We start from the raw sequence: 22,953 nt of genomic DNA, 5'->3' as shown, positions 1-22,953 counted from the left end.
GATGCTTCATGTCCATGCCTTAGTCCTGCCCCAAGTTCCTGTGCAATCTTAGAAAAATATCTGAATCTTTAAGTTCAAGTGCCCCCAGTTACAATGAGATTCATAACAGATTCTCAGTGTTTTCATGTACTTCACTCCTAGTAGGTAAGTTAAAGGAAAGTTATTAAAACATTTGTAAGTGCTCTAAGTATTTCAGATAAAAGATACTGTAACACCGCCAAGGCACCACTTCTAACTTTTATAGAGCTCGCATGCCCTAAATTTTGTTTGTAAATAAAATCTTAAAAATGTGTTAGGAAAGGGATATGAAATACATTTATAAAGTGAAGAATTTCTTTTAAAACCCCTTTGGGAGGCCAAAGCGGGTGGATCGTGAGGTCAGGAGATTGAGACCATCCTGGCCAACATGGTGAAACCCCGTCTCTACTAAAAACACAAAAATTAGCTGGGCGTGGTGGCAGACACCTGTAATCCCAGCTACCTGGGAGGCTGAGGCAGGAGAATTGCTTGCATCCAGGAGGCAGAAGTTGCAGTAAGTGTGAGATCATGCCATTGTACTGCAGCCTGGCGACAAGAGTGAGACTCTGTCTCAAACAAACAAACAAACAAAAAACCCACATTAAGTAAACATGTAAGTCTGTATCTTCAAAATCAAATTTTCTAAAAGCACAGTCCACCTGCAATACCACTTACATTAAAGACAGAACTATCCACGGAGATCAGCAATAAGAGCTATCTTCATGTAAGTACCACACTTTAAGGAGCATCAGTGACCAACTGTGTCACTGATTCAGACCAAGAGAAAACATATAAGTTTGTGGAAAAGATTTCCCTGGAAATTTCAAAACATAGGTAATTAAATAACCAGAGATTGGGTGCAGTGGCTCACACCTATAATCCCAGAACTTTGGGAGGCTGAGGTAGGAGGATTGCTTGAGCCTCAGAGTTTGAGGCTAGGCTGGGCAACATAGTTGGATCCTGTCTCTGCAAGACATTTCATTAAAACCTAGCCAGGTGTGGTGGCACATGCCTATACTGTAGTCCCAGCTACTCGGGAGGCTGAGGCAGGAGGATATCACTTGAGCCCAGGAGTTTGAGGCTCCAGTGAGCCATGATGGTGACACTGCATTCCAGCCTGGGCAACAGAGCAAGACCCTGCTGTCTCAAAAAAACGAAACAAAAAAAAAGAGGAGGAGAAGAATAATCAGGAATCACAAACAAACTGACATTTTTCAAGCTTGCTTTCAATGTCTATCACTTTACTAAGAAAAATATAATAAATTCATTGTATAGATAAAAATGACATGTACACTATTCCAATATCTGTTTCCTGTTGAAGAAACCATCAAGAGAAAATCTTTTCTGGTTCATCATCATTAACACAACCCCCAAAATAGAATACGATTTTAAAATAGTTAATAGGGTGGTATATATATATACATACACATACACACATAATTTTTATATTTCCTGATTTAACAAAGACATGCTCTTGGGAAGCTGTAGACCTTATTGAAAAGTCTGGTAGCCTTTCCTTCTTTTATTTTCTGCAGTACTTAAACAGCCTGTATGAATCATTTGGCATGGGTGAATTGTCTTGTATCTTCTCATGCATGTATTCTTGTCTACACAACTAGAAAGCAAGCCTCTGGAAGGAAGTTCCCTGTGGTGCTAAGCCCAGTGCCTTGTACATAACCTGGGTGCATTAATCATTGATTGACATGTGCATTTGCAGGGAGGAGCCTGGTAAGATACACTCAAAACCTTTATTCATTGATTTACAAACTGTACAATATTTACAAAGTTTAGGCATTAATCCCATATTGACATGAATGCTGTGGAGAGTCTAAAAATAAATATGTGGCACATAGCTTAATATACACATCATGGCTCTTTACACTTAAGCCATTACCAATATTGAGATGTAATGGAGAATTTAATGTGGTAGAAAAGTCAGAGTGGCTGACCAGTCCCGGACCTTCCATGTGAATGACTCTTCCTTGGCTCCTTGAGGCTGGGGATAGTGAGCAAATAACTTTCTTTCAAGAGAATTAAACACTGCCATTCTGACAGGCACATGGGACACATGCAGCAACATCTATGCAGAGTCTGCAAGCACTCCCTGGGTGGTGGTTGAATCTGCACCACTGTGGACCTGATCCCTCTACACCAGCCAGGGAGGCTTTGGTGTGGTCACTTTCTTGTTTCTTATTCAATCACATGCAGTACTTGGAAGATGTCAGTGGAGTGTAATCATGCACAAAAATGGTACTTGTAGGTATGTACAACATCAAACTTTCATTGTCTTATAGCATCTTTAGATGCAACATCAACTATCTCCTCTTTTAGCAAGAGGGATGAATGAGGAAGCCAAACCCCTACTCCCCAAAGAAAAAACATCACCTGGGGACACATGCAAATAGCATCCTGCAACAGCAGGGTGAGATAAACTCCACATGATAAGATGGATGAATTCCTATGAAGTCAGGCCTGAAAGTCTTCCTAGGGGGATAATCCCACCTTTCTTTCCTCTTCAATCCCACATCATCCCACATAACCTAAATCTGAAGGAAACAGCTTCACAACATTGCGTTTGAGCTTTGGTACCTTCATTTGGGAAGTGTAAATGCTAGTAACATTCTTTATAGGATTCTTGCAGGGATTAATCCTAACTTATGTAAAGTGCTTAGCATAGTGCCTGGCACATACGAGGTGCTTAATAAATGTCTTGCTTTCTCTCCCTCTACTTTCCCACCCCAATTAAAAGCAACATACTGATAAGCCTAACAAACTCTGAATTAAGGCCATTTGATGCAATTTAGATTATTCTGTATCAGAGTTACTGCTGTCAGTTCATATTTAGTCCCTGAGGGAGTCTCATTTTATGAGCCAGAGACATTTTTCTATGGAGGGCAGATGGACCCTGACAACACTGTCCTCTTTATTAGCCATGGTTCTACCAAGTTTCACAAAAACACATCTGAAAACCCTGCACACAAACTTAGACCAGTGATGGTCACCACCTGAATAATTCCAGGACACCATCACTGAGGAAACCATGGAAAAATCCTTGAGACAAACATATTGCTCTTGCCTACATGTTAACTTTTTTCAACACTGGTGCAAGTATTATAGATAACTTTCAATAAACATATATTAAAAGCTCTACCACTGTTGAAAAATATGTATTCTAATTTGATCACTTTGTTCAGAATAATGAATTTTTTAGAATATATTTTAGTTTCTAGTTATGCCTTACAAAAATAAATACTGTTTAAATTATTTACAAGGAAGAAGAAAAATTGTAACTTGGGGTACAAAAAATACAAGAAGGATGACAAAAATTTTACCATCTACTTCAAAAGCAATATCTAAAAGAAAGAAAAACTTCCCATTGAGTCTCCTTGTTAGTCTTGCAATCACCTCACTGGTCTACTTTCTCCTCATCATCGCATATTATGCCTTGCTTCCCCATCATTCGAAAGACAATTTAATGCAGAATCTTCTCCATAAAGTCACTGGGGATTTGGAAGTGGGAGCTCTTTGGCAGTATGAACTGCAGATGGAGTAAGAAGCTGGCTGAGCCACTTAGTCGGCCCTCAGAATGAACTAGGACTAATCTCCACACATTTTTCCTTTCATTCTGAAATCCTCTGTCTAGATTATCTATGGCTGAATAGAACCCCATATCTGGGGAAAACAACTCCATCCTGGTTTGGGGCTCTGGACACAATTGACTCAGGTGGAATCTAGGATCTCATGAAGCATAATTAGGTGCCAAGTCAAGGAGAAGGCTGATCTCACCAATTATATGAAGGGATAACAGCCACTTTATGGACAGTGGCTCCATTAAGTTGAGGAAAATCCTCCTCCAGGCACCCCCACAAATATAACAAACTTTTATGATTGCCTTTTTGTCTTCTGCACAGAACAGAGGAAATGTGATTCCCAGCACTGGGAGAAGAATGTTGGGAAAATTAATTGAACAAATGGCTGGAATTGTTGGAATTACTACTCTTCCAGGGACTCAGTCAGAATTTCCAAGGAAATAGTCCATTCAGTTTGGAGTCAATGTTTTAAAATTCTAAAGCTACAAATGAACTCATGATTATATTTAAACCAATGGTTACTTTTCTCCTGAAAAGCCCACATCTATACATGCCCCTATAACATACTCCTAATATCTTACAGTCTCAGGACCTACTGCATCTCATGCATGTATTCTTCCAAATTAAGAACCCCAGATCTCGATAAATGCAGAACTACTTCTTGGAATGAAAACAAACGTTTATGGTATGGAACTTGGGCTGTACTGACAGAAGGCTTTGATGAGTCTCGGTTAGACTCAAAATGGCTACAATGAAGCAACATTTATTCCTCATGGTAAGTGGCAATGCTTGGCTGTGATGACCTCCAAGAGTGTTGTGTCTCACATGTGTAATTACTGTCAGGCCAATGACTCATGCAGGTCTGTGGACCATCGAGATCCCCATGGATCGCTATTAACACATGGAGCCACTGAGCCACTATAACATGAGCCCTAACCACAACCACAAGCAGGACACTATCACTGACATACAGCGTGGGTGCCCATTTGTCTGATTTATAGGTGACGTCGTGGCAAATGTGGCATCAGTTTCATTTCGGGGCAGTGGCAAGTTACAGATATTTCCTTCACAACAAGAAGTGCAGACCTGAAAGAAAGGAAGAAAAAAAGATAATGAGAAGCCAGCATGTCTTGGAAGGAGGCAGGGTTTTTGAAGGCACTGTCGCCCACATGGCAAGATGCAAGTAAAAATTACCTAATCTATAAAGGAGATGCCAACTCTACGTTCAGGAAGGCTGGGGATAATATTTCTTCTAGAAGCAATCTGGTCAACATGAAAACTCCCCAGGCCAAACTTCAAGAGAGCTAGGTTTTGTTTTTGACACCCTCCACCCATACGATTCTTACAAAGGTGTATAGCCTTCCTGGGCCTCAGTTCTTTCGCCCTTAAAATGGGAATAAAGAAACTCGTCCGTGTTTTTCCATGAGGCTCTTTCTGACTACTTGAGGAAGAGAGGGTAAGCCTTCGTTTGCCAAGTTTTCAAGTGAGAGTCAAGTGGCAACAACCCGGGTGGTTTAAACTTGAGTACTGACTTTCACAGAACTGTTTGCATAAGTGTCTCCATTCTCATTGGGTGAGTTAATGTTTGAAGGGTTTTCATTCATGCAGTTACTCCTGCTTTACACCACCTTACTCGTGGATCATTAGAAAGAAATAAACCCACAGAGTTAGTGACAAAAACTTTCTTGGGGCATGGCTACACAAAGTACAGACCAGCAGCTCCAACATCAGCTGGGAGTTTGTTACAAGTGCAGAATCTCAAACCTTGCCCCAGACAAAGAATTAGGACTACATTTTAACAAGATTCCCAGGTGATTCCTAGTCATAGGATGGTTATTAATAACATTCTATACAGTCATTTTCCTGCAGGGATTTGAGTCTTTAGTCACAGTGACACGTGCCAGGAAGTCAGTATAATGTTGCGGAGGTAGACTCCAAACCAGAGGTGAGTTGGAATTCTGTGCCTGTCACTTACCAGCTGTGTGACCGAGCATATGACCCAATTTCTCTAATCCTTAACTTTCTCCTTGGTAAAGAGGCCACAGTAACTCCTCAGAATCAAGTCCAATTTGCTGGAGAGGTCAGGGAAAGCCTTTGGTTTTACTCATTTTGAACCAGGAGCAGAATAGGCAGATTATATTTAAAATTTTAATTATTAGTGTATTCAAGAGGTTGCTTGAAAATTAGGTGTCTGCCTTCTTAAGAAACAGTGCTGTTCCCAGGTATTGAGAATGGACATTGCCCAAACCACCAGGAAGGCCACCTGCAGAAGTGTTCAGCTGCTAAATAAAGGCCAAAGTATGCTATGTTAAGGTCACACGTATAGACAGCATATAGACATGTATAGACACACGTATAGAGGGCAAGGCTGCCTTTCTGTGATTGTCCATATGCCCCTTCAAGGCTGCCTCCCAAGCTCATTTTACACTGAGTGCTTCTGTACATAGGCACCATGTGTTTCCGTATACAGGCTTCTACAGGTACCAGGTGAAGCTTAAGCGAACACACAAGATGGGTCTCCATCACCTATCAAATGACTCAAGAGCCAATGGAGACCCTCCCCAAACTAACATCCCAGTCACAACATGAGCCCTACTTTACAGAAAGTTATCAAAGCTGAATTGCGTCGGTCCTCCTGTGATGAATGAACTGGGTACATCTGCAAAGCTTCACTGTGATGGACATAACTGGTCTCTTGCTCCTCTTTTTTCTGGTAGCTTTATTACTTTCCTCTGAGTGAAGAAAGTTATTACAATAACACTGAACACCCTCTTCATGTGTGTTTACACAATTTATATCAGTTGTCCTATGCTCTGGTATAAATGTGTATTCTTTTAGAGTAAACAGGAAAGGAAGCGTCTTTTCATAGAGCATAAAGACAATCAAAAGACAGCCTTCACGGGGGAGTAAGAATCTGCTCATGAGTACTGGCAGATGTCTGAAGAGAAGGCAGCTGGCTATGTAGTACTGGTCACTTGCTCTGTTGCCCAGACCTTGTGGCCTTCATGCTCGGAGTCTCTGCAGCCAGTGGATAAGCACTCTTCCAGTGGGACACAGCGTTTGGTGACTGAGATACTGTTTCCTGTGACTTCCATTGTGTGCTGAGTGTAGCAGTATCTGGTCTCTGTCAACAGAGAAAATATATTTGAGATGGGAAATGTTGACCAAACCTGCCTAAAAGGAAAATAACAGGAGTGTCAGCATTATCATTCCAGAAAAGAGCTAATAGCACATAAGATGTGCACTGCTTTGAGTTTATGTCCAACCCCAAAGACCTCTTTGGAGAGCTCCACTTTGCCATGGTAGGAGGACAACCTTCAAAGAATATTGATTTCTCTGCCCAGCATTATTCCCATAAACCAAGACACAATGGTTTCTCCTTGCCTTTCAACAAATTTTGCCACTGGACTGATTTTTATTTTTAGGGGATGAGTGGTTTTGCGGGGATGATTTAAGAGGTATAAGTCATAGCAATTTTAAGGAAGATGAAAGGACAAAGAGGTTCAAAGAACTCAGGGTTAAAATGAGTTAGGCAGGTAACAGTAGTCCTCAAGGAGATAAAACACTACAGCAGTGGCTGGTGTGTGTGTGTGTGTGTGTGTGTGTGTGTGTGTGTGTGTGTGTGTGTGTGTGTGTTGGGGGGAAGCAGCTATTCACAAGAGCAGAACAATTTAAAACTTTGTGCCAATGAGCATAGCTGGGTCCAGGGTGCATTACAGACGAAGACTGAAACAATAATGAACATTTTTCCAAAATTGAGGAGCTTCGTTTCTCCCTAGCATGATTTCAGTGTCTTCCTAGGACAACAGATGAAGACCATGATGGGAGTTTCCAGAGGTCCCTCTATGTCTAATGAATCTGAAAGCTTGAGATCTCTTCCAAAATTCTTTGGGGGAACTTTTAATGTGTAATTTAAAAACTAAAGAAAAATGGCTTTGTCAATGTAATTCTTTATGGCCTCCAGGCAATGTTCAGCTCTCTAAGTCTGGGATTTAGGAGAATGTTCTTGCTCTACTTTCACATTAAAAAAGAAAATGAATAATTCTTAAGAAATGTCACCGAGCTGTTTTTCATCCACATCTTGGATCCAACTTTGCATGCTTTATACATTTCAGATATTTAGTGGCTAATATGGAATTATGACCTTCTATGAGATTATTTATTAGGCAATACAAATTCCTCCCCTCTCCCCCACCAGATTCTGTCATGATTTTGGCAGCTTTTAACTGAAGAACTAATGTCCAAAGAAGAAAGCGTAAGAAAATTTTAGGTCTTGAGAATGAGCTAATACAGACCCTTCAACACATCCTGGAAGTCATCAAAACTCAGGGGTTTTAACAGTCTTCCTAGAGACCCTCACCTGACAGGAATCCCAAATGGTCTCCAATTAAGTCGTACTAAGAGCTGCCACTTTCCCAGTGGTGATGCTATTGGCAGGTGTGCCTGGGCAGAGTCTGTGGCAACACCCTCCCCTAAATGCTGTCCCACACTGCATCCCGGCTGGAATTGTTAGTTGGATTGGGCTGAAGCTTGCTCCAAGGTTGCCCAGGGTCCTATGGAGCTCTTTGGGAGTAGGGTAAGGTCATCTGGGGAGCTCACAATAAGAATAGTTGAAAGTTTTCTACCTGGCAATAATTATCCCAAAGCCCTAAACTATCTTAACATTGGAGTGATTGCTTTTCTGTTGAAGAAGAGGCAGCAGCTCTCCTCTTTTTTAAGCCTTAACAGGTTTTGACAAATGGAGGCCAGTGGCCTGGGAGATTTACCACATCTTCTAAGAGGACTGGTTTACTTCTTTGGTATCAGACTCGATGGACGTTTATGGTCACAATAGGTTCATCTTTCCCACCCCCACCCCAACTTCAAATGTTCTAGAAAGCAATAAAATCAGGAATGTTCTTATCTCCTGTCTCCTCTTCATGCAGACAGCTAAGAGCAGCTGCCAGAGGTTTTACTGCTCCAAATGTAAATCCGAGCAGATAAGATCATAGGCTTATGGAATGAGTAAATCACTACATAGCTGCAGTTTTGGAAATCAGCCTTTTCCCCCAAGTAGTGAATTATCCTGTTTTAAGTAAGCCTTAAAATAACAATTGGTGAACTTGATATGACTACTTCTTTGTTCATACTTTTCTATCTTTAACAAAATATCTTATACATAATGGAGAGCGTATTCCATTGAATGACAGTAGACGCAACAACTGATAAAAATAATTTTTCAGGAACACATGCAAAACCTTAGTACCTAATAAGCTGATTTTTTGCCATTCTGGGGGTAGAAGGGAGATCAGTGCAGTAAGAATTTTTTCTTGTACTTCACCCAGTCCAATCCATGAAACAAAAATATATGGAGAACACTGCCATCACTTCCAGCAGTACAGACCTCAGTGCTGAAGCATCAATCCTTCAAAAGCATTTATTCCACTTCTTATCTTACAAAAACCCTAGGTGAGTTATGAAATGTTAATGTGGAAAAAGGTTCTGTGGTTTAAGAAGTTTTGAAAATGCTCAAATAAACTCGAACAGGTTTCTTCAGTGCACAACTTATGAGAACCTTCTATATGTGTTGTGATCTCATGATCTCCAAAGGTTTATCGGGGTGAGCAGGCAGAATTTCCCAAGTAGAACTAGGTGGGCCACATTTGGCTTATCACTGGACTGGAGTAGTGATAAAAACCTAGTTTCAGCCACAGAGCATTGTTCTCTATGCATTTTGAAAACTCCTTGGGTTAGTAATGAGGTAATATGAGAATCAAGCCTGCTGATAACTTCACACTAAAAGGATTTCAAAGGCTTTTATCTAAAAGATAAAAGATGAATTTGAATTTCCACCAGGTTAGTTTCTGTCTCTAAAATCTCATATTCTGCAACTACATGGTATTCCCAGAGGTTGTGAAACAAAAGTCTTTTACTATTAGATTAACAGGCATTCAACTAAAATCAGAAATGGGAAAGAGAACTTCATCAACAATTGGAAAATATAATTTTTATGAAATTCACACCCATGTGCACGCATGCACACAGAGTTCATAATCTCGTTCTGAAAGTTAAAAGTAACCCAAAGCTAAATTGCAAACTTTCATTTACCCACCAATATTGTTTTTAATAACAGAAACTATATTTAAACAAAACATACATAAGATGATTTGAATTGAGACATTACAAATGTCCAACTTTCTTATAAAAGGCTTTCTTGCCACTCAATTATTCTTCATGGTTCTGCTTGTTTTAGTTTCTTCACAAACATACAGGTTGATAAAAATGATGCTAGAGAATAATTTTCCAGGTGCAAGAAAATTAATGGGAGGAAAATACTTTAATAGTAATATTACGAATTATACTGAAAAATGAAAGGCCAGTCGCAGCTGCCTGCTCTCTCCCTGCCCCCATTCCTTACTGTTCACATAGCTCTTCACTTCTGCCACACTACTCCCCTGCAACAACTGTGCCCTACGCATCAAATTCCATGCCCTTTTCCCATGTCTGACCCTGTAGGATCTCTTTGTGACTCTGGGACTCTACTATGGATAATCTCATCTGTGGGACTCTCCATCCTAGACTTCAGAGTTCTGTCTTCCAGATGTTCTCCTAATCTCTGTTCTCTCCACTTTCAACACTTTCCCTAATATGAAAGTCGATATTCTCCCATGTTCTGTCCTTGAACCTCTTCTCACTCAAGTGGCCTCATCAAACTTCTCATGCCATGTGTTCAGTCTGAGTCTTTTTCCTGAACTGTAGAACCAAATTACCAACTATTTTCTGGACACTTCCAGCATTACCTCACACCTAATGTGTCTCAACCCAACGCATTATCTCCCTCCCCCTTGCATCTTTTTATCTTCACATGTGTCTATCTCAGGAAGGGACCTCCTGGGATATTGTACCTCCAGCTTCTCCAGTAACTTGAACTAGAAATCTGGAATCAGCTCAGACTTTTCTCCCTAATCTGGGAGTCTCCAAGTCTTCTGAAATGTCTCCATTATCCATCTGGTCTTTTCTATTCCATTTTCCATTTCCTCAATTCCGGACCTCATTGTTTCTTGTTTTGTCTCTGACATGCAACCCGCCACGCACAAAAGCATGAATGCCACCTAATTGTCAAGGAATCCTGACTGCTGAATTACTAGGCTTATTTGGCCTGCCTGAGTGGCTTGGGAATAGGCCATTGCTCTCTCTGCTCCCGAAGCTGTGTGTCAAGTGCATTGGAGTAACTGCGCTTCCCTGATAGAATCATCAGTTAATTTAATTTCTAACTCAGAGCTTGGCATCTGAAACTCAGCCCTCATTACTCACGGTTCTCCTTGATGGAGGCTCCAAACTGTCTCCTCATTGCCTCGTATATACCTTGAGACATAGTACCACAACTTTTGACCATGCACGATGAAAAATGTGCATCCTTAGCATGGTCTGCATATTTTTTCCTATCTTCTACTCCTGGACACCTGATATTCTTCAAGGCTCAATCCAAATGTGATAAATTCTGTGAAATCTTCCTGATCTTCCTCCCAACCAGGTCAATGCTAATCTTCTCTCTTCTCCATGTTGTCTTAGTCCTTCTTAACTTTCTCATTTGGGATATCTGGCTTTTCTTCTAGATCATGGTTCCTGATCAAAACAATTGATTTTTTTGTGTTTAAACTGTTTTTTTTTTTTTTAATTTAACCTATTATTTTGAGATAACTGTAGATTCCCATGCATTTGTAAGGAATATTAATAATAGGAGATCCTCTACACCTTTTACCTAGTTTCCCCAAATGGTAACAACTGCAAAACTATGGTATAATATCACAACTGTGATATTGACATTAACCCAATCAAGATACAGAACTTCTCCACAGCCATAAGGATCCCTCATGTTGACCTTTTATAGTCACATCCTCTTCCCTCCTGCCCCCACCCCTTCCCTAACCCTTGGCAACCACTAAATGGTACTGCATTTCTATAATTTTGTCATTTTGAGAATGTTATATAAATGAGTCACACAACATGTAGTATTTTGGAACTGGGCATTTTCACTCAGTCTCATTCACTGGGTTTGTTAATTTTTAAGAGTTTGTTAACTTTTATTGCTGAGTAGTATTCCACGGCATAGATGTACTAAAGTTGGTTTAACCATTCAGCCATTGAAAGGACATCCAGGTTTGTTTCCAGTTTAGAGATATTATTAATAAAGCTACCATGAACATTTGTGTAGAGGTTGCTGTGTGAATATAACTTTTTACTTCTCTGTATGAGTGACCAGAAGTGAAACTGCTGGGTTATGTGGTAGTTGCATGTTTAGTTGTTTAAGAAACTGTCAAGCTGCTTTCCAGAGTGGCTGTAACATTTTATATTCCTACCAACAACGTATTGAGTGATCTAGTTTCTCCTCCTTTTTACTAGCATGTGGCATTTTTCTTATTCTTTATTTTAGGTATTCTGATAGAAGTATCATAATATCTCATGTTTGAAATTTGCATTTCCCTTATGGCTAATGATGTTAAATGTTTTCATGTGTTTATTTGCCATCTGGTTATCTTCTTTGGTGAAATGTCTATTCATATTTTTCCTATTTTCTAATGATGTATTTTGTTTACTGGTGTGTTCTGAAAATTATTTATATATTCTAGATAGCAGTTCTTTGTCAGATATGTGATTTGCAAATATTTTTCCCATTTCATAGCTTGCATTTGCATTCTCTTAACAGGGTCTTGTGCCGGGTAAAAAAGTTTTAAATTTTGATGAAGTCTAATTTATTATTTTTTCTTTTATGAGTCATGCTTTTGGTATTAAGTCTAAGAACCTCACCTAGCCCTAGATTTATGAAGATTTTCTTCTATTTTTTCCTAAATGCTGTATGTTTTTACATTTCACATTTAAGTCTGTGATTCACTTTAACTTTTGTAAAAAGTGTGAGACTTAGGCTGAGATTCATTTTTTGCCTGTGAATGTCCAGTTCCTCCAGTACCATTTGTTAAAAAGGCTGTCTTTCCTCCACTGAATTGCTTTTACACCTTTGTTAAAAATTAGATGGGCATATTTTTAAGGTCTATTTATTCTGTTTAATTGATCTATGTCTATTTCTCTGTCAGTACCGCAGTCTTGATTACTACAGCTGTATATTAAATCCTGAAATAGGGTAGTTTGATTCCTTCTACTTTAGTCTTCTTTTTCAAAATCGTTTTAGCTATACCAGTTTCTTATCTTTCCATATAAACTGTAGAACACTTTTGTCTATATCTAAAAAAAAAAAAATCTTCCTGGGATTTTGACAGGAATTGTGTTAAACCTATATAACAATCTGTAGAGAACTGACATTTTACTATGTTGTCTTTCAATCTATGAACACGGTCTTTCCATTTATTTAAATTTTATTTTTTTCATTGACGTTTCATAATTTTCAGCTTACAAGTCCTATACATGTTTTGCTTAGATTTACCTGGAAGTATTTAATTCTTCTGAGCAATATAATGCTATATTTTAAATGGTATATTTTTAAATGGTATATATAAATGGGATATTTTAAATTTCAGTGTCCACATGTTAATTGATAGCATAAACACAATTGAGTTCTCAATTTATCGTATATCCTATGACCTTGCTGAACTCATTTATTAGTTCCAGGAATTCTCTTTAGATTTGTTGGAATTTTCTACATAGAAATCATGTTGTCTGTGAAAAAGGACAGTCATATTTTCCTTTCCAATCTGTATGTCTTTTATTTACTTTTCTTGTCTTATTGCACATGCTAGAATCTACAGGGTTGCACTAAATAAAAGTAGTGAAAGCAGACATAATTGCCTAGTTCTCTGTCTTAGCAGGAATGCATGCAGTCTTTTACCATTAAGCATAATGTTAGTGGTAGGTTTTTAATCGATGTTATCAAGTTGAAGAAGTTTCTCGCTATTCCTATTTTTCTGAGAGGTTTTAATCATAAATGGTGTTTAATTTTGACAATTGTTTTACATTGGTTGATATGAACATGTGATTTTTCATCTTTAGCCTATTAACACTGTGGATTATATTGGTTGATTTTCAGAGATTAAACCAGCCTTGTATCCATGGACTAAGCCCCACTTTGTCATGGTGCATAATTCTTTTCATATATTGCTACATTCTATTTGCCAATATTTTGTTAAGAACTTTAGTGTCTATATTCATAAAAAAATAATAGATTGGAATTTTGTATTTGTTTGTTTGTTTGTTTGGTGCTGTGTTGGTCTGGTTTTGGTATCAGGGTAACTCCAGCTTGATAAAATGAATTGAGTATTCCCCCTTCTCTTCCATTTTCTGGAAGATTTTATCTAGAATTGGTGTTAATTCCTCTATTAAAACTTGGTAAAATTCTCCAGTGAAATTATTTGGGCCTGAAGAGTTCTTTTATGAGTGTTTTTAAGTTATAAAAAAAATTCTTAGGAGTTATAGGACTATTTATCTCATTTTTAGTGAATTGTGGTACTTTGTTTTTTGAGTTATGGTCCATTTCATCTAACTTGTCAAACTTATGTTTTTGAGTTGTTCATACTATTCCCTTATTTTCCTTTTCTTAGTACCTTAATGTTTTTCTCCATTGATTTTAATTGAAAAAAATTGTATATGTTTATGGTGTACAATGAAATGTTTTAGTATATGTATTCTCATTGAGTTTTATTCTTATCATTATTATTTCCTGATTTTTGCTTAGTCTTGCTTTGTTTGACTTTTGGTTTGTTTTTCTCTTCCTTTTTCATCTTCTTGATGTGTGAGCTTAGAGAATTGATTTTCCTGTTTTTAAATATGTGCATATAGTGCTATAAATTTCGGCCTCAGCATTGTTTTTGCTGTGTCCTACAAATTTTCATATGTTTTAATTTCATTCAGTTCATTGTCTTTTAAATTTCCCTTAAGACTTTATCTTTGATCTGTGGATTATTTAGATGTGCACTGTTTAGTTTCCAAGTGTTTGGTGACCTTCCTTTTATCTTTCTGTCATTGATCTCTAGTTTAATTCTATTGTGTCAGAAAACACTCTGTATGATTTCAATTTTTAAAAGTTTGTTGAGGTTTGCTTTATGGCTCAGGATATAGTTTATTTTGGTATGTGTTCCATGGTCACTTGAAAACCATGTATATTCTGGTGTTGCTGGATGGAGTGTTCTGTAAATGTCAATTAGATTCTGTTGGTTAATGGTGCTGTTGAATTCTTCTATATCTTTGCTGATTTTCTTTCTGTAGTTCTATCAGTTTTTGAAAGAGTGGTGTTGAAGTCTCCAACTATAATTGTAGATTTATCTATTCCTCCTTTCCTTTATATTATTCTGTTGCACATATTTTTCAGCTCTGTTATGTGATGCTTATATACTTAAGATTGCTATATCTTCTTAGTGGATGGGCTTCTTTTTAATCATGCTATAATGTTCCTCTCTGCCTCTGGTAATTTTATCTGCACTGAAGTCTTTTGATTAATGTTTCCCTACTATCTTTTTCCATTCTTTTAATTTGCTTATATAATTATTTTGAAGTAAATTTATTACAGATGACATATATTTGGGTCATGGTTTAACATATTCTGTCAATACATTTCATTTATTTTGTATATTTATGCCATTTACATTTAAGGTAGTTATTGATATGGTAAGACAAATTTTGTTATTTTCTGTCTTGTTTTTGTTTTTTCTTACATTCCTATGGGTTACATCAATGTTTTTTAGAATTCCATTGTGATTTATCTACAGTGCTTTTGAGTATATCTCTTTTTAAAATTGTTGCGCTAGGTATTAAATTATATGCAAAACTTATCACATCCTGCTGGCATCATAATTTTACCAATTAAAGTGAAGTGTACAAAACTTACCTCTTTTTATGCCCTAATACCTTCACTTGTTTGTAATAATTTTTTTTTTTTTTTTGAGACAAAGTCTTACTCTGTCACCCAGGCTAGAGTGCAGTGGTGTGATCTTGGCTCACTGTAACCTCCGCCTCCCAGATTCAAGCGATTCTCCTGCCTCAGCCTCCCGAGTAGCTGGGACTACAGGTGCCTGCCACCAAGCCTGGCTAATTTTTGTATTTTTAGTAGAGATGGGGTTTCATCAACCTGATCAGGCTGGTCTTGAACTCCTGACCTCAGGTGATCCACCTGCCTTGGTCTCCCAAAGTGCTGGGATTACTGGCATAAGCCACTGTGCCTGGCCGTAATATAATTGTATTAAATAATCCTCTACAATATATTTAGAACCACATCAGACAGCATTATAAGTTTTGCTTCAACTGTCAAACATAATTCAGAAAACTCAAGAGAAGAAGGACATTCTGTTGTACTGCATTGTAGTATCAAGTACGTTTACTAAGTTTTTTCTTCCTTTCTGATGTTTCAAGTTTCCTTCTTTTATCATTTCCTTTCTGCATATAGAGCTTCCTTCAGCCATTCTTTTAAGGTAGGTCTGCTAGTGACAAATTCTCTCAGTTTTCCTTCCCCTGAAAATGTCTTAATTTCTTCACATTCCTGAAGGATATTTTCTCTGAATATAAGATTCAGCATTGATAGCTTTTTTTAACAGTTGGAAAATATTGTACCATTGACTTCTGGCCTCCATAGTTTCTGATGAAAACGTTTCATTCAACTAATGTTTCTCATATCAGATGTTCTTTTTCTCTTGCTATTTCAAGACGTTTTGTTTTTAGAAGTTTTATTATTATGTGTTTTTGTGTGGATTGCTTTAGTTTTGTCCTCTTTGGGGTTTGCTCAGCTTCTTAGAAAAACTTTTAGCTGCTAATTCTTTGAGTACTTTTTTCAGCTTCACCCTCTTTCTCTTGTTCTCTTGAAACTCTGATGATGTAGTGTTAAAACATTTGTTACAGCTCCATAGATCTCTGAGGCTCTGTAGAGGTTTCTTTCCCCTCAGCCTATTTTCTACCTGTTGTTCAGATTGGATAATTTTTATTGCTCTGTTTTCCAAATTCATCACTAATTCTTCCCTTTGTTCCTTCCATTCTGCTGTTGAGCCCATCTATTGAGATTTTTATTTCAGGTACATTATGTTACAATTGTACAATTTCCATTTGGTTCTCCTTTATATTTTCTATATCTTTGATGAGATTTTAAAAATTTGTTTCAAGTGTGTTTGTTATTACTTACTGAAACATTTTTATTATGGCTGCTTTAAAATCCCTGCCAGATAATTCTAACATCTGTATTTATCTTGGTGTTGGTGTCTATTGATTGCTATTTTTCATTCAGTTTGAGATCTTCCTGGTATGACAAGTGGTTTTTTTTATTGAAGCCTGGACATATTGTTATTATGTTAGGACACTCTTGATCTTATACTCCCTGTTTGAGAGTGGTAAGAGTGCCTCATTAATGCTTCCCATGTAGCCTCTACTAATGCCATGGGATGGGAGATGTGTTGTAGCCTCAATACCAATGGGTGGCGGTGAAGGGTGAAGTCTTGACTCTCCATTAAGCCTCCTTTGACACAACCTTGGTCAGGGGAAAGTAGAGGCATCTCATTGTTGCTGGTGGAGGTGAAAGTCTAGGCTCCCTAACACGGTCTCCATTGACACTGTGGAAGAGACCTTGTTACTGCCTGGTGGGGAGGGACAAGTGTCACCTTTACTTGTCCTTCTCTGACACAATCCCAAGCAGAAAGGTTGGGACATCTCATTACAGCCTATTGAGGATGAAGTCAAGGCTTTCCATTCAGCCTCTGCTGGTATGGGATTGGGGCTACAATTTTTTCCATAGTGTTTTGCTGCAGTAGAGCAGCTATTGTCTAAAAGTTATCTTTCTAGGCTTCCCCCTTCCTGGTCCTTCTGCTAGAGAGCAAACTTCTGTTGGGGGGTTATTTTGCCAGTGCCTATGGCATTTGCAGGATGTTGACTTCTTTAGCTTCAAGTCTAGAATATATGAGACTGAAAGAAAACCTAGTGAACTCAGCACTGTGTTGTTCCTTGAGTCTTGAAGTCCCTAGTCTGTCATTTTCTTTACACCTTTCAGAGTCCCTTCATGTCTTTGGTTTGCTTTTTAATAAATAATGTTCAGAATTTTTTGTCATACTTAGCAGGAGGAATAGAAAAGTACATCCATTCCATCTTTCCAGAAATGGGAGTTTTCAGCTTCTGACATTTTGGGCTAGATAATTTTGTTTTGGGCAGACTGCTCTGTGAATTGTAGGACATTTAAAGCATCCAACAGCCTCTTCTCACTAGATGCCAATGTCACTGCCAATAGTAACAACTAAGAATGTCTCCAGTCATTGACAAATATACTTCGGGCAGGGAAGAGGGAATTGCTCCTGGTTGAGATCTACTGTTGTATTATACATTATAATCTTGAGAATCAGGCCCATTCTTGTTGGTGTCTGCATTCCCTCCAACATATAACACAGGGCATTGCACACAATAGCAGGCATTTAATCTCTAATAAACTCTTGTATTACCAGCAGAGATGGATGGGTAGGAAGAATATATCTAGCTAAGCTCTTCCATTCAAAGTTGAACCAAATTAAAACATTTTAATTTAGTTCTACGACGTCTATAACATATCTTCCATTGAATTTGAATAGTCTCATCAAATTTAAAAGAGAAATAATACTACACTTCTACCAGTAGTGCAATTTTCATATACTATCATGACTTCTCAAAATTATTTGCCAGGACTACTAAAAGTAAACCTATGCATATTCTATGAAGCTAAAATTCTATTCCTCAATATACATCCAACAAGAATGATAAGTCCTAGAACGTGCATAGAAGAACTATTTGTACAAACACGCTGTAAAAATGTCAATTAGCGACAGAATGAATAAATTATAGTATCTGTTCCCATAACAATGAGAATGAACGGATTACAACTAAATCTAACGAAATGGATGAATCTCACATAATATTGAGTGAAAGAAGTCAGATACAAAAGAGTTATACTGCATGATTCCACTTCTACAAAGAACCCAGTAAGACAAAATTAACCTACACTACTGGAAATTAGGAGGGTAACTATATTAGTTTCCAGGGTTGCCATAAAAAACCACCGAATGAATGCTTAAACAAAGGTTTTCTCACAGTCCTGGAGGCTAGAAATTGAAAATCAAGGTGTTGGCCAAGGCTGGTTTCTTCTGAGGCCTCTCTTTTTGGGCAGTCTTTTCCTTGTGTCTTCACAACAGCTTCCCTCAGTTCCTGTCTGTGTTCCAATCTCTTCTTATAAGGATGCTTGTCAGACTGGATCAGGGCCCACCTGAATGACCTCACTTAATTACCTCTCTAAAAACTATTTCCAAATATGGTCTCATTCTGAGGTACTAAAGGTTAAGACTTCAACATAAGAATTTGAGAGCAGGTAGGGGGAAAAATGGGGAGGACACAAGTCAGTCTATAACAGCGACCCTTGGTGGTAGGAAAAGTGACTGAAAACAGGCATGCGAGGAGCTTCTAAGATGCTGGTCATTTCTTAATCAGGGTGCTGCTTACATGGAGTATTCAATTTGTGAAAGTCCATCATGCTATTTACTATTTGGTATGTACATTATACTTCAAAGTTCAGTAAAATTGAAAGCGAAAGAAAAAAAGAGCCCAAGATGAAAGAAAATAGACTCAAGAAAAGGATGAACTACAAATTGAGTTGCAGATAAACTGAATTATTTTAAACTTACCCTAATTAGTAATTACTACAGTCTCCGCTTTCAGGCACCAGATTATTGTTTTGGCTTTTCTGCTCTTAACAATTATTCTCCATAGATCTTTTAAAAAGATGTGTTTTCTCCTCTTGTTCCAAGTAAAAAATTCCTCAAGGCAGAAATTAAAAACAAATAAATGCTCATCAAACTGACTGAATCACAACTGGTTAGTCTCCTCTACCCTGAAGTCAGCACCTTTTGAGGAAGCTGCCAAATGGAGACTTCCCTATTTTCTTCTAAAAAATATTCATCCACATTTCTTAATGAACCTCTCACTGGAGGAACTTCTTTTAAAACTAATCACTGAAATTCAGAAGGCAATGTACTTATTACCAAGGCCAATTCCAAAAAGGCAGCTGGGAAGGTATGCAAAGGTAGTGAGGATAGACAGGACTTTATGGTGAACAGTGGTCAGGATAAAAGTGATAAGGCAGACCATCAAATGGAAGCATCCCAGCTGAGGCAACTGGATTTGTAAAACATATTTGGACAAAATATTGTGAATTGGAGAAGGTTAGATGCTCTCAGTGTACGAAAAAAAGTCTTGTATGGGCTGATAGGACTTAAGGTTAAAAACTTGCTGGAGGCCAGGCGTGGTGGCTCACACCTATAATCCCAGCACTTTGGAAGGCCGAGGTGGGTGGATCACGAGGTCAGGAGATTGAGACCATCCTGGCTAACATGGTGAAATACTGTCTCTACTAAAAATACACAAAATTAGTTGGGTGTGGTGGTGGGCGCCTGTAGTCCCAGCTACTCGGGAGGCTGAGGCAGAAGAATGGCGTGAACCCAGGAGGCGGAGCTTGCAGTGAGCTGAGATCGTGCCACTGCACTCTAGCCTGGGCAATACAGCAAGACTCTGTCTCAAAAAAAAAAAAAAAAAAACTTGCTAGAAAAGTTCTAAGACTAATTCCGAGAATTATAATGCCAGCTGAAATGGGATGGCTTACCAAGAAACAGAATAAAATTAAAATAGCCAATTAAAATGTAAACAACAAAAATCTGTGTGAAAGCACAGGCCTGCCATTGTAGACTGGATTTAAAGAGCAAGGTACCAGAGAAAAGACAAGCCCCCTGAGTGGTGCCTGACATTCTATACCTGTTCTCCCCTCGAGGCATTTGCTGATTCAAAAATTGCACAGGTGGAGAGGCTGAGAAACCAAGCAGAAAGCTCTGCTAAGGGGCAGAGAAGTAGGGCAGCACCTTCATCGGTCTCAAGGGGACTGGGAGCACAAACAGGAGATCAGAGCTAGCAGGGCAGCCGCAGGAGAAATGAGGTTCAGAGAAGCGAGACTGATGGTCTCCACATAGAATTCCAGGATGCCAGTTATTTACTTTCAGCACTTTAAAAATGTCATCTGGTTAACTTCTACCTTCTATTGTTTCTGTCAATACTAGGTGTTGGCAAGATTGTGCAGCAACTAGCACTTCCATGCACTGCTGGTGAGATTGTAAGTGGTACCATCATTTTGCAAACGGTCAGGCAGTATCTAGTAAAGCCAATGCTTACATGCCCCATGCCTAGCAATCCCACTTCTGAGAAAGACCTAGCAGAAACGCATATGAACACGTACCACAAGACATACAGAAGAATGTTCATAGTATTAAGAAACTGGAAACAACCCAAATGTCCTTCAATAGTGGAATAGATGAATTTTGGTATATTCATATAATGATCTACTATACATCCCTGAGAAAACATGACTTTGTTGCTCGAAAAGACATGGAGGAATGCCACATACATAATGTTTGAAAGCAAGGAGTACATTCTATACAACTCCACATATGTGATGCTCAATGATAACAGTCTCAACATTGTTACCTTTGGGGATGGAGTATAATGACTGGGGCACCCTAGCAGCCTCTGGGGTTCTATTGCTTCATATGGGTGGAAACACAGCATGTTCACTTTGTAAACATTCACAAATTGTGCACTTATGATCTCTTCACTTTGCGGTATGTATATTCAACTTTAAAATTACTTTTAAAAAGGAGGATGTCTAAGACTTTCACTTAGCAATATGACAATAATATGATGAGAGATCATCTGAAAAACATCTTATTACATAGCAGCCAGAAGTGTTGGATAAAATGTAACCAGCACTTTTTGTAAATTACAAATGAATTCTCCAGAAAGGAAAGTGTCAAGGGCCAACACTGGATAAGGTATTGATTTCTCTATCCTAGGGAAAGAACAATGTTAAAAGATAAGCCATAATAAATTGCAAGGCGTTGGGTCCCCATGGGATTCAGAGAGACAACAGAGACTCCTGTATAAATGAAAAAAAATTGGAGGGCTATATTCTAACTGTAAAATTGCCTAAAAGGAAGAAAATTCCACCCTTAGGTTAAGTCAAACACAAAGGTTGTCTGTTTCAGCCTGGGCTATGTCTGAAAAAAGTCAACAATAAAGAAATCGTTCCTGAAAATTTGTAACTATGGTCTTGTCTTCAGTTGAGCTGAGGATCACATTTACATTTCCTGCTTGTAGCAAGAACCATCAGGCAACCAATCTGGAAAAAGCCATCAAGGGATATGTCCAGCTTTTTCTTTACTTTTACAGAAAAACAGTGAAGAGCATAGAAGCTGGAGCCAAAAGAATATGTGTCCTCTAACTCAATAATTTTCTTTTTCTGATTATATATCAGCAGTATTTTCAAATGGAGATTTTGCCTTAGAGGGAGGCATCTGTACTTCATAATTAAGGAGGAACATAATGTCTTTGGCTTAGCTATCCTCCACAAAACAAGCCTTTTTAAAAACTGGAATGTCTTTGACTTCACATTTAATTCCATAGACTTTTAATAACCATTTTTACAGTCCCTCTCTCTAGGATCTTTTCATCTTGCAGCACAGAGAAAAGTCATGGGCAAACGTAGATCCAAGCACACGACATTCAACTCTTGTTTTAGATCATCAGTTCCTTCAATTGGCTCCTAACGTAATGTGATTTCAAGATCCTTTTCCATTCTGGTTCACAAAATCAAGAAAATTGAACAGATTTATAATGAGTAGCTGATGAAATTAAAGTTGTTGCAAAGGAAGTGCTCAGAGATCAAAGATGAAATGGAAGCCAAGCAAGTAAAGCAACCAGAGTCAGTTATGGAGAGCATCTTAAGCTCCCATTTCTAGGAAGGGAGTATAGTACTATGAATCTGGAAGCACCAGAGGCACAAATAATGTAATGGAGGAGAACGCCCTTATATCACACACCTTCTGAAAAGAAGAGAGACAGGGAACCTGAGTTAGCTAGAGGTGTGTCCAGCTGATGCCGCCACTGCCAAAAGAGTGATTCCAGTCAGGAGAAAGCTTTCCTGACACTTACTTGGCCAAACAATAACTCAAAACAAGTCTGAATCCCTGAATGTCAGTCGCTAAGATACACTATGTCTCTATGCACATGCATGTGACTGAGGTTAGCTTTAGAAAATTCTTGACATTCAGTGAATCCCCTAAGCAATTTGGGGTGTGCACTTATTCTGCGTTTATAAGATTGAATACTTAGATGAGGTGATTTTTTTCACTTTCAACAAATTATTTTCACATCAGGTGATAATTTAAACCCAGTTAACTATGTCACAAAGCAAACCAAAAAAACCCAGGAATGTCTTAGAATTTCCATAGCAGTGTCTCAGTTGCCCTTCCTAAGCCCATTGGTAGTCCTAGAGCTGCTTCAGACTACTAACAGAAAAATCTAGAGTTAGCTACTAGTGAAATAC

At 38.3% G+C, this 22,953-nt stretch overlaps 1 protein-coding gene across 5 annotated transcripts in view; it reads right to left on the bottom strand.

Annotated features, from left to right (window-relative positions):
* Window positions 1-22,953, bottom strand: part of LYPD6 (LY6/PLAUR domain containing 6) — a 156,394-nt gene that overhangs the window by 11,002 nt on the left and 122,439 nt on the right. For 4 of the 5 annotated variants that reach the window (NM_001195685.2, NM_194317.5, XM_024452699.2 and 1 more), the window contains 2 exons: window positions 6,602-6,732; window positions 1,239-4,694 (listed from right to left, as the gene is read on the bottom strand). The exons of the other annotated variant lie outside the window; for it this stretch is intronic. In NM_001195685.2, the coding sequence (NP_001182614.1) occupies window positions 4,527-4,694; window positions 6,602-6,732 (299 nt within the window). In that variant the 3' untranslated portion in view covers window positions 1,239-4,526. Of the gene's footprint in view, window positions 1-1,238; window positions 4,695-6,601; window positions 6,733-22,953 lie in introns of those variants that run through there. 5 annotated transcript variants of the gene reach the window in all.

Source organism: Homo sapiens, chromosome 2, assembly GCF_000001405.40.
Source record: "Homo sapiens chromosome 2, GRCh38.p14 Primary Assembly".
Classification (NCBI taxonomy): domain Eukaryota; kingdom Metazoa; phylum Chordata; class Mammalia; order Primates; family Hominidae; genus Homo; species Homo sapiens.
This window is presented reverse-complemented; position numbering and strand designations above follow the sequence as displayed.